The 12,708-nt window shown below is 42.2% G+C and overlaps 1 protein-coding gene across 10 annotated transcripts in view, besides 1 other annotated feature; it reads left to right on the forward strand.

Annotated features, from left to right (window-relative positions):
- CHRM2 (cholinergic receptor muscarinic 2) overlaps positions 943–12,708 on the forward strand; it is a 151,562-nt gene continuing 139,796 nt past the window's right edge. For 3 of the 10 annotated variants that reach the window (NM_001378972.1, NM_001006630.2, NM_001006627.3), the window contains exons 1-2: positions 943–1,283; positions 1,552–1,709. The gene's annotated coding sequence lies outside the window, so the exon portion shown is untranslated. Of the gene's footprint in view, positions 1,284–1,375; positions 1,465–1,536; positions 1,710–12,708 lie in introns of those variants that run through there. The other 7 variants (NM_001006626.3, NM_000739.3, NM_001006632.3 and 4 more) reach the window with 3 other exon arrangements.
- Positions 1,622–2,384: an enhancer, noted in NCBI's record as "H3K4me1 hESC enhancer chr7:136554078-136554840 (GRCh37/hg19 assembly coordinates)". NCBI's record gives its function as "activates a minimal SCP1, AML or CMV promoter by ChIP-STARR-seq in primed H9 embryonic stem cells {active_cell/tissue: H9 hESC(primed)}" and the evidence as "EXISTENCE:reporter gene assay evidence [ECO:0000049][PMID:30033119]".

The following is a 12,708-nucleotide window of genomic DNA, read 5'->3' on the forward strand; positions in this document are numbered from 1 at the left end:
TCTGGACATATATATATTCTGGATATATATATCCTGGACATATATATATATATTCTGGATATATATATCCTGGACATATATATATATATATATTCTGGATATATATATATATATTCTGGATATATATATCCTGGACATATATATATATATATATATATATATATATATATTCTGGATATATATATCCTGGACATATATATATATATATATTCTGGATATATATATATTCTGGATATATATATATATTCTGGATATATATATATATATTCTGGATATATATATATATATTCTGGATATATATATCTATATATTCTGGATATATATATCCTGGACATATATATATATATTCTAGATATATATATTCTGGATATACACATATTCTGAATATAGATATAGATACAGATATAGATATAGATATATTCTGTAGTCTACTGCCCATTAGCTGAAGAAAACATGGTCACTGGCTCATATTTAAAGTAAGAGAAAAAAATTACTTCTCCTTCGGATACATTTGTCAAAGCTCCAAAGAAATAAACAATCTGTGAATAGTTCAGCACAATTATATATTTACAAAGCATAGTGGATTTAGTCTAACATTTTCCCACCTGGAAAAACTGGGCTTAAGTATCTCCGACAAACAAAAAGCAATACTGCGTTCTTCCCAATATGCCATGTCACCTTTGTAGCACTCACACACTTGCAGGGAAGGGACTCGGGGTTGGGGGTGGTTCTGATGTAGAAATTGCAGATGGAGAGCTGGGCTCTGGGGATGGAAATGGAGAGAAGCGAAAAAGAGCCTGGAGAAACGGCTGTCATATTTGCTCAGAAGAACCGCCAAATCAGAGAGCACAGAAGATTTCATTGGAGGAGCGCCTTCAACAGCAACTAATCCTGTCATACTGAAAGAAAATTGTAAATGTTCTCTCCAGAAATTGTCCGCCCATTGCAGCTAATCGAACACACACGCACGAATACAGACACGCTCTCCTGCTGTACTAAAGGCGCCAGGGCGCAAAGACCTAGGGAGCGCGCGCGGGCACACACACACACACACACACACACACAGACACACACACACTCACACACTCCAGGCTGCGGGTTGGCCAGAGCCTGGAAATCGCAGATTTCACCAGGAAATCGCCGAGGTACCCGAATAGGTGTTGCCTCCCAAAACTAATTCCTACTTCCCCAAGCACTTTGGTGAAGAAATGAATCCAGCCCAGCTCGCCGAGGCATCCAGGTCTCCATTCTATTTTGGTCTCCAGGCTCTTCGTGAAAGCCAGGTTTGAAAGTCTTGTTTGCTTCTCCTTTAGTGGTTTGGCGTGGAGGGCGGGGGCAGCGTCAATTTAACTCCAGTCTAAACCACGAACAGGTCACAGACTAGCCAAGTGGCTGAGACGAGTGTGGGGTGCGTGACTCTGCCTGCGCGCGCGCCAGCCCCGCAGCTCTCGCCAGAGCCTTGGGGTCGGTTCTCTCCCGCCTCTCCCGCCTCTCCCGCCCCACCCCTACAGTGTCTCGGCATCAACTAATCTTTTCCTTTTCTTTTGCAAGATCAAGGGAGAAAGAGAACCGGCAGCTGGCCTCGGACTCTAAGCGGTGCGCAGCTCCAGCCCGAGCGGATCGGCCCTGAACCCACAAAGGACTCCTCGCTCCTTCAAGCCTCCACCACCTCGCAGCCGGGGAGGCAACTGGAGCGAAACCAGCGACAGGTAAGGGCCCCGCGCTGTGCAGCTCTCCGCTTACCCACTCCAAGGGCCCTGGCACCAGGGGGTCTCTCCCTTCATATCCCCCCAAGCCGGAGGCTCAGGGGTCGGGGCTTGGGGGAATTGGAGGGAGGTCCTCCCCACGTGCAGATTCTCAAACGGAAACTTTGGATCCTGGGGCTTGGAGGGTTGCGAGCAGTGATGGCGGGTCTGAAAGGAAGGGGCAAACGAGGCACAGCGCGAGGCGAGGTACCCCTACGATTCCGACGGTCACTGAGTCCAGCCGAATGTGGCGAAAGCAGCCTGGGAGCTGCGCTGTCCCGGCGTCGCTCCCTATTCCAGCCCCCCATTCCCTCTACTGTTGCTGACCCCCCTCCCGCCACCCACTCCAGATGCAGCCATGGACAAGACAAGGAGAGCTTCGTCCCTCCCGCCCCTCGGGTTCCTTCCTGCTGGGGTCTGACCGCGTCTTCTGTGCGTGTGGGATGGAGGCCCGGCTCGCTCGGGCTCCGAGCTGTCCCCCGGCTCCGCTTTCGGAGCAGCCCTTGGGCGCTGGAGAGGTTTCCCATTGCGGTCTCCAGGTCATGGCCAAGGAGGAGAAGCAATTAGAATGGGGGAAAGGGTCCCAAGACAAAGGAGAGGGAAGCATTCTGCAATCCCATCCTATTTGAGCCCCGCGCAGGAGCTGGACTGTCCGCCGTGGCTGGGGGACAAGGTCTCAGCCCGAAGCTCATGAGGTACCAGACAGTGCCTGGGCTTCGCCACCTAACTCACAATGGGTCCTGAACCGCCCGGGCAGTCCCCGGGGTCGTAGACTGGGGACCGCTGCACCCCTCCCCGCCCGCAATGTCCCTTGGAGTCCGCACCTGAGGTCCCAGGCAATCGCCGCTAACTTGTAGCTCTCGGACACGGACAGGTGCGGTCCATGCCTGGTGCCGGTAGACGCGCAGAAATTCCACCTGTGCGCGCTGCCCGGCGCCCCTGGGGCCCCTCACGGGGTAAGTAGAGACTCATCTGGGAGAGGTGAAAATTCCCCAGAATTATTGACACACACGGCGGCACACCCTTTGCCTCCGTCCGCCTCCAGCATCCGCATCCCTTTCTCTATCTTCCTGCCCATTGCCGTCCTCGAGGCTGCCCTGAGATACAGAATTGTCCCAGGCTGAGTCCACCGACCCGCCAGTCCCTGGCGATGATGCCAAGGCTCTTGCATGTACGGAAATACCAGCAGGGAGGTTCGCCAGGGGCAGAGAGGCTGGAGGAGAACAGAGAATTGGAGGTAAACGCGTAAAGCCAGCAGAACTGTCGGTGGACATTTCACCCAGGCCGCCCTCCCGCGTCTTTAAGTCAGTTCACCGCCACAGCACGTCTGTGACTGCGGCCACCCAGGGCTCCAAGTCTGCCAGCCCAGGCGCCGCGAGCCAAGAAGAGCGCGGCGCCTCCCACTCCTCAAGCTCCGGAATCCCCCACATCGACTTTCTATTTCCCTGTCTTCTTTTCTTTTTTGTTTGTTTTGCTTTTCCTGCTCTTTTCTTAGCGCTGGGTGGCAGTGGGTATGCGGCAGCCGTGTGATTTGCCCATCCCCTAGTACACGCAGCCAGCGACACAAGCACACAGCGACCAGTCCCCACGCTGTGCCACACACCCTCCAGCGGTCCGGCGCGCAGCCCCTGCTCCACAGCCCGGGACGCCTGCAGCCACCGCCAGGGTCATGGCCATGGCCCACGCAGGGCTCTGCGGGTGGAGAGGGGAAGTCAGCCTAGACTCCAGAGAGAAACCCTGGGGCAACCCGAAAGGCCTGAGGAAAACTGGAATTGGGGTTAGGCATGAGGGGAGGGAGTCTCTGGGGAAAACGGGCCGGGCTGTGCGGAGCCCTGAGGGCTCCTGCGGCTGCAGCGCTGCAGGCCGCCCGCGTCTCGCCCCGCCCCGCCGCTGGGCGTCCCCGCCAGGAGCCCACCCGCGGGCGGCAGCTTTTCTCCATGCTGCCCAGGGAAGTTCGATGCCTGGTGCTGGGATGCGCCAGCGCTTCTGTTCGCTTCTGGCAATCCTGGCGTCTCCCAATGAGAGGGCTCTCAAAATGAAGCTTTTAATAAACTCCAGAGTAAGGAACTCGGGATTGTGCGGCAAAGGCCGCGCATTGCACTTTGTGAGCAATCGGTAAATATGCGCAACCATATGATAGGAAATATATGCATTTTCATTGATAAGAAAAAAAGAGATGATGGTATTTTTAAACAGAAGCCACAAACAGGCATACCTGTGCCATTGTTGGGGAGCTAATAATAAAGGCACTGATGATCACAGGAGTAAGAACAATTGACTTGGCCAAGAGACAATTTTAAGCTGGGAACTGTATTCGGCTGCAGTTCAGAAAGTGGACTTTTGAGACTTGTCAAACGAATGGAAGAATTTTGTGCCAACAATGTCCCAGCTTTGCAGGCTTGGCAGCTGAGGACTCAGAAGTAACAAATTAATGCCAGGTGAATTATTATTGTTACTACTATTATCAAAATGTGTTCCAGTTGCAGCAATACAATGGATAAGCAACTTCCTATTGACTCTATTTGCTTTCCTGGGCTAGACAATAATGCCAATTAAAACTTAAAAAATTTAACCTGACCCTAAAAAGAGGTGAGAACTCCAGCCAAATCTGTTTACCATTTTAAAATAAAGCTCTGTGAATGAGGTGGGGTGGGAATGGGGGAAAGTTTTGGGACTCCAAATTCCCAGGGCTAGACTGTCTGAAAGATGCTTCATTTTCCTATAAAATAAAGAGGCATGTTTGTTTGTAGAAGGGTGCTTGAGGGTGCCTGGAGGCAAATTGGAGTGAGCAAATAGGTGGATTTGAATACTGTCATAGTTCCAGTAAAAGGGAACCCAAAGAGCATGTTTTCAGCTCTCAACTAACTTCAGAGTCAGATGTGGAAAGAACTAGCAGGTGAAATACTGGTAAAAGTCCCTTTGGAGTGAGTTCCCATGGTCCTTCAATTTTGGGAGGCTGAGACTGTTGTCTTCATGTTAAAAAACAAACAAACAAAAACACATATTGCTCTAAATTTGACCCTATCGCCTTCATTGCCCAGAAAGTCCAGATAGTCAAGCATCCAGATGTGTCTTTACTGGACAATTTTCCAATTCCAATTCCAGAGCAGCCATTCCCCAGGGCCAATAGGAATGGGTGGTTTCAGAGATCCAAAGAAAACAGTCCCAGACTGCTGGCAGGTAGGGAAGGCACAAAAAGCATGAATGACACTGTCTTCAATGGAAGTTAGGCTGGCTAATTAGGAGTCCTATGTCTCTCTGACCCACAACAATGAGTAAAGTTAAAACAAGTACAAAAGAGGGAGAAGAGAAGAAATTAGAACAAAAGGGAAATGAAGACGGAATGGGAGAGAGAAAAATGAGGACAAGAATCTGTAGGTATATCAATAATCGTGCTGGATTCAACCTCCATCACTGATGTCAGCCTTTGTTTAGAATATGCATGTGAGCGAACCCTTTCTATTATCTTCACAAGATCACCCAGACACCATTCTCAATCCTGTCTTAAACTTTTCCCACTTTACTCAATAGGACAGAGACTGACAGAAACATTTTGCCACACAGTTCTCTTGAAGAATTGGTTTTCTTTATTTAAACTTATATTTGACTTGCTTGAGATTTTATGACATGGACTCTCCGTGGCATAGTTCCCAAGAGACTCCTATGTATCGAAAGCCACCAATGTCCACCTTGTGACTACTAACAACTGGCTTTTGCTTCCTGTACCCACTCTGTCCACCTTTGGTTCATTGAGCAGGCATCAGGACTTCTCTCATTTAAGATAAATGGCATAAGTATACTGATTGCATATCCCACAGCTCACCTGGCCTATGTGGTGGAGGTGGTATGTGGGGAAAGAGATGCAAGTCACCTTTCCTTAGGCAGGTATTTTTGCTGTGTGTATTCTAAGTCCTTGGCATTATTCTAAGCATCTTCCCATATGATATTTTCTGTTTTGTCAGTTGCTTTAGCCTCACTGCTTAAAATACAGCCAGGCATACCTAAGAAACATATTAAATCTCTTTTGAATGAGTTAATACAGCAATCAATTTTCTCATTTTATCTTTGCAACAATCCTATGTAGTAGATGTTATTTTCTACAGGAAGAAATCAGCATTCAGAGGGGTCTGGTAATGACCCGAGATCATACAGCTAGTAAGTTGCAGCCCCTGGATTCAAACACAAGCTTGTTGGACTCCACTGTCTTAGTTCTTATAGTGTGTCAATCGGTTCGCTATAAATAGTTGTGGCACTTGTTTTCCCTGTGTTTGGGGAAAACAAAACCATGGCATTCAGAAGTTCAATGATGTTCTCCCCATCTGTTAATACAACTTTGCATGTTTTTGTTAGATCCTCCAAACCTTAAGCAAAGAAGAGGCAGTGCTGAGTAGGCTCTTAGTTGGCACGTGCTTGTCTTGTTTAGTCAGTGATTGCCTCTGGCAGAGGTAAACGAGGGCACCAAAATTTTGGCAGATGCCATTTTCACCTCTCAGCAATACTAAGACATTATTAAACAGAAGTTCTTTTGTCTGATGCATAGTAATAAAAGATAATTTTGATATCATTCAGCTGAGTTCATGATAGGAAGCAGATCAAGAGACTTTTTCAAGGTGACACAGCTAACCAAGAACTGCATAAGAACACACACATCCCAATCCCAGTCTAGTTGTCTCTCCATTTTTTCATGCTAAATGAGTTCTCTTTTTCTATAAGATTGTTGGCACTTAAGATTCTGAATTTCAATGGCCCCATTTACTTTTAATTAGTATTTATTATCCACATGTGCTTTGAAAAGTATAATGTTACTTTGTAAACTGCTATTAGCAAAGAATGAGGTAGGTTCCAGTTGGTTTGCCTCTTTCCACTCTTTATATATCTTTGTCTTACTTTATTTATTTCTCTTTTTTTTTCTTCACATGTTCTAGCTCCTTCTTTTATACTATGACCTAAATATACAATCATCTTAACTGGTGCTGTTACCATGGTAATGTTTCATGGTAGATAAGGGTACACACTAAAAACTCAGTTTTCTCATTTTCTTTCATTAGTAATGGAATTCCTTCTGTCTCTCTTTTTTTTCTCTGTCTTCCCCCATGCCCTCCCTCTCTCTCTGCCCCCCCTCTCTCCCCTCTTCCCTCCCAAATCCAAGCTTTCACTGAATGATGCCCTCTGGTGTTCAATAACTGGAAGCACATTGGATTGGATAGGACAAGGACATCCGTTTTAAAGCTTAGGGAGAATTTCAATTTCAAACAAAAATTCAACTGGACCTAAGCAAGAAGGACTTTGAATTAATATGTTTTTAAGCAAAGAGATTAGTAGAATACATTTGTTGTCTGGGCATGTCAAATGTTGTTTACTATGTATACAGTTATGGCAAAGGGGTGGGAAGGATATTTATACCCTTACAGGTTTAACATTGTTATGAAAATGTTCTTATGGAAGAAAAAGAGATGCCACCGAGATATCCCTGGGAGGATAGTCTGATAGAATATTCTGCACATTTAAGTCTTTAAGACTTCTAAATGGAAGTCTTCTATCTTTAGAATGGAAACATTTTTCTTGCTGAATATATATATATATATGTAAAAAATGCATGTGTGTGTATGTGTGTATATATATACACATATATACATATATACACATATATACATATATACACACATATATACATATATATACACACACATACACACACATGAATTTTATATATATATATATATCTCCAGCAAGAAAAAAATATATATACATATATACATATACATACACACATACACACACGCGTGAGAAAGAAAGAGTGGAGGTATTTGTTAGGTGAGAAACGTAGACGTTTTACTCTTACTTACATGATTGTGTGAATAATAATATCAAGCTGCACATTTTTATTAATCCCTAAATACATGGCAAACTAGAAGTGAGGTTGATATGCTATAAACATATCTTCTTTCTTTCTCATTCCAAATTCCACTGCTGCCCTCTGATCAGACCCCAGGTTAAATCTGTTCCCTCAGAGGCTTCCCTGGAATCCATCCCCCTCTTTCCATCCGGGCATCTTTTCAGACCTTTCGCACCTCTCACATGAACTATCACCAGAGCCATATGCTTCTAACCGGTCTCCCACTCTCCAGTCTTTCTCTAGTACAAGCTACTCCTCACATTGCCAGAGTGACCTTTCTAAAATGCAAATCTGAACATGTCGTTCTCCTGTTTAAAATTCTTCAGTGTTTCTCAACAGTCTAGGATAAACCCTGAGATCAAACCCATGTGAGAGCTTCCATAGCTCATAGAGCTGTTTTGCCAGCCATCTTTCTCACAGGCATTTCTTCATCCTCCAACTGCACAAGGAAAGAATCCATGCACATAGCTTAGTGTAATGACTGGTACAGTGTACATGCTAAATAAATACTAGCCAATATATTTATTTCCCCTTTATTCTCCTCCTCCTCTTCCTCCTCTTCGTGGAATTTATTATTATTATAATACTAACAGGCAATGATAAGCTTCACACTTATACTCTAGCCATTCCTCAAACTAATAATAATACTCATGAAAAGGTATGATATAATATGATGAAGTTAATGAATATTTGGCATCCTCTATCTCATTTAATCTCTCACAGCCATGTGCACCACCTGGTGCCCACTAGGTGCTCAGTATATTCCTGTTATTTTTATATACCTAATCAATATAATAATAATGACATTTTTAGCCCTTATTATTCATAGCAACATGTTTTGGAAGGCGAAGCCATGGGTGTTTTTATTTTAAAAAACAAATTATTTACAAAGGAGTTAACTTATAAAAATGCTAGGCAACTTGGATGGTTTTATCTGGTGCTGGTAGTAGAGTAACAGCTAGAACTTGTTAGGGATACAGATGACGTGAGAATAGAGGCCATATTTTATAAATGATGGCAATATACACTTACATTTGTATTTCTGTCTTCTCTTTAAAACGAAACCAAATGCCCTGATGTTTCCAAATAACACAATTAAGTGGAATTTTTAAAACCACTTTCTATTTTCAAAATAATTTTACTATTATTTTATTGCATAGTGTGCAACCGCATAGATACCCACAGTACCCCTCCATTTTATCGTATCAAAGAAACTGTAGGCAACTTCATAGGCTGAGGGCTATTTTAAGTTCAAATTTCCAGCACATGGACAATGAGTAACAGCAACAATAAAACTGAGGATCTACATTTTTAAGATTAGTGCAAAATACATAACAAAAACTGTAGTAACGAGGCAGTCTTTTGAAGCTATCTGTATTTATTGGGCTCAGAAAAACAGGACCTCTCTTTTCTGAGGCTGAGAATCCTAAATATCCTTGAATATTGACCTCTTGGCAGAACTGGGCCCACTTTTTCAAAAGTCAATATTCATGTCACCAGGTATAGTGCTTTAAATGATAAGATTCTGAATTACTTAAATAACTACTATCTTCTAAGAAGTCATTTAAAAGAGATTAATTCACAGGTTGAGTATCTGAGACACTTTATTCCTCTTGTAAAGACATTGAGTCAGGCTGGGAATTAGGGACAGGAATCTAGATTTTTAACCAGCCCCTTCCATGATACTGAGGTGGGAAATCACAGGACTACATTTTAAATAACAGATTGATGAACTGGAACATAGAAGGCATCAAGGAGGAAAGAAGATAGGATGTACAACTCAAAATGTTGCTGCCAATAGTACTATATGTATTTTCCATTAGGGCCCGGACAGAGAGCTTTGCTGTAGCCGGAGACTTTTTGATTTGTTAGGCAAATTCTAGTGTGAACAATGAATAACGGTTCAGGAAGACAGCTATAGATTAAGAAGCACATCTTTCAATGTAGAGGAAACCTAGATACCTGTGTGTTTAGATGGGACACAGTCCCATTTGCATACAATATGTCCTTGGAGTTAAATCAGTCTCGGCTACTTAAGAAATAAGTACTTGATTTCTTTTCTATTTCTTATTTTTTTCCTTCTTAAATTCCTTTCATTCGTTTAATATCTTCACAGATCATATATATCTTCATGATTCCAGAGCTCCTCTCTGCATTCTTCTATCTGGTGTTCTGTGTAGATTCTTATTACTAATGTAGCTGGATCAAGCACCTGGACTTCTTCCTCTTCTTCTCTCCCAACTCTAGTGGAGGAGTTAGAGAAAGTGAGAGAATTGTCTTAAATGTTAATGCTGATACATTTCACTGTCATTGTTGCAAAATGTTGTTGCATTCTGATGATCCCAAGTAACAGGCGGGTATGATACCTCCTCTAGGAATAAGAAAGTTATAATGACTTTTCTTGATGTTATTGTTCACCCTTAGTCATGCTGATGATTCTTCTGTTTGAATAAAGCAAATAAGCTGTTCTTCACCTCCTCATTCATGCCAAGCCAATAAACAAGACAGAATCATGTTGGAAAACAAGCTTCTTATTTCTTATTTAATTAACTACCAAGGAACTCTTTAGGAGGAATGTGATCGTGAGCTAAATAATTACCTGAAGCCTAATTTTTCTTCCTTTCTATAAAAGATAAGCACAGAATAATTTGATTGGTAGAGGAAAAAAATACATTTCACAACCTGTTTTACATTGTTGAACACGATGAAGATTTTCTAATACTCTGCCTTCCTTGGCACTGTTACAAAGGGAAGAGCTTCTACCATAACCAGCATGAAAATAGAAAGTGATAAGAAAATTCTACTTAATTGTGTTCTTTGGAGAGCATCAGGGCATTTGGTTTCATTTTAGGGAGAAGATAAAGAGCAGCCCCAGGGCCAAAGCATGTTTCCCAGATATGCCCACTGTTTTCTTGCTTTATCCTCAAAATTACTTTTCTATGAGATTTTATCAGTGGAGTAGGCAGTTATGTCTTCGCATGTAAGCCTAAATAATAAAGACTTTATTTTTCTTTGTGCTATGCTGGATGGAGGTACTGAAGGCAGGAGGAAGGGTAGATGATATAGGTTTAATTTCTATTCTCTCTGGCAACTGGGTATCATTCAACAGTAAACAAGCAATCTCAGTTTTGCTTTATTTTAAAATAAGCCTGACTGGATATTTTCCATGGCTAGTTATATCCTTATCAGGGGAAATTTCAGAATTTGGGGTGAGATACTCTTCTGTGACAATAATAATGGCAACAAAAACCACGAAATGACAGCTGCTGTTTTTTGAGTGTTTACCAAATTTTAGAACCTATGCCATTTCTTTACATGTATTGTTTCTATACCTCATGCCCACCCGATGTGGTAAATTTATTCCTTTTTCTTTCTAAATCTTGAAACCTTGGCTTGTTGACACTAAACAACTTATTCCAGGTCTAAGAGTGAGTATGTGGCTCAGCATTATTTCCACATCTAAGGTCAAGGATCAGTTTTTAATGTTTTTTGTTTTGGTTTACTATACCACAAGCAGTTCTTTCAGAGGATGTCTCACTATATTATTTGGCATCTAATTCTGATAAGGCTAAGGAAAAAGAGAGAGAGAAGAAAAAGAAATAGAAGCAAGTCTCACTTCTAGTCAGTGTTCAGAAAATGAAGTCATGAAAACAGACTTCATGGTAAAGGAATCAGTCTTAGGTGAAGTTTAGAATCTGTCTCCTGGCAACTAACCTCCTGGCTTAGCATAATTTGAATTTAAAAGTGCTTGAGCCTTCGTAGTTCCCTGGGAGCTCTTTCTAGGCACAGAGGTGGAAAAAGTCTCAGCAAGGCTTTCAGGTATGAAATTTCCAAGGCATACAATATTTATTGATGTTTATATAACATATATGTTGCAACATTTCTGTTGATTAGGAGAACATTAAGTATCAGTAAAATGTCATTATTTGATCTCCTTCTATTTCATACTGTTATATCTATTTCCTTCCTCTGCAAAACAATTGCCATTACTTAACCTTAACTTCTGCATTGCAGATGCACAAACAAAAGGCCAAAGAGGCTAGATGTCCTAAGGGATAAACCTGCTTGGAATAATTCTGTTCCTGTTTACATGTCCATTGTTAACTAACCATTTATTTGCATGCCCCCATATCTTCTGGAAATCATGACTGTCTATTGGGAAATGATAATACCAGCTAATTTCTTTTTCACAATTAATTGAAATTTTACACTCTTACATTTCAATATCCATCAATATTTTTACATACTGACACTTTTAATCAAGGATTATCTTTCACAGGGGAGCTGTAACAGGGCCCTAATTAATTAAAGTGATAATTACTCCTCTCCCTCGCAGTTTGTTAGTTACATAACACATTCTCCAGGAAATTCACATCCTTAGAATTCCTCTTTAAATTTCTCTCATTTATAAGGAGATACCTTGGCTTCTATCTCTGTAAGAATTTACTGAAAACTCAAATAAATTTATCATCTAGCATTAGGAAAGAAAGGCGGCCATCTTTATTTTTTAGCAAGTTTTCATATTCAAACCAAATAAAATGAGATTTTCCTATCATTGAAATGTTCAGTTTGAACCGCAGGGGTCGTTTTCATGGAAAAAAAACAAGATTGTCAAATGACTCCCCTTTGCTATTCACCAGCTTATTCTAGCTTCTTCATCACAGTGCAAGTTCCCGTGGTCCATTCCTCTTGGATCTTTTTTTTTTTTTCCACTTCCATTCCTCAGCTGCAATTGCTCTTGCCTCTCTGTGGTTTATCTTAGTGCGTAAGGTTTGTTACATTCTCTGGTCCGGTTTAATTCCGTTATTTGAGTAGACATGGGATTCTAGAGTATTGGCAATTATTGGCAGCCTTGCTCTCTTCTCCTTTAATAGCTATTGCCCCGTTCCTATATTTTGGCATCTCTTGGTGTCTGAGATGCACTTTCAGAAATAATTGGTGGTGACTCTAAATTCATTCAGTTTATCCCCTAAGACTTGGGAATCCAGATCATTGAAATCCCTGCACCAAATATTGGTCAGATTTGCTAAAGGTCATTCCTGTTTGGTTTGCATATTTTAATTATAT

This window comes from Homo sapiens, chromosome 7, assembly GCF_000001405.40.
Source record: "Homo sapiens chromosome 7, GRCh38.p14 Primary Assembly".
NCBI classification, from domain to species: domain Eukaryota; kingdom Metazoa; phylum Chordata; class Mammalia; order Primates; family Hominidae; genus Homo; species Homo sapiens.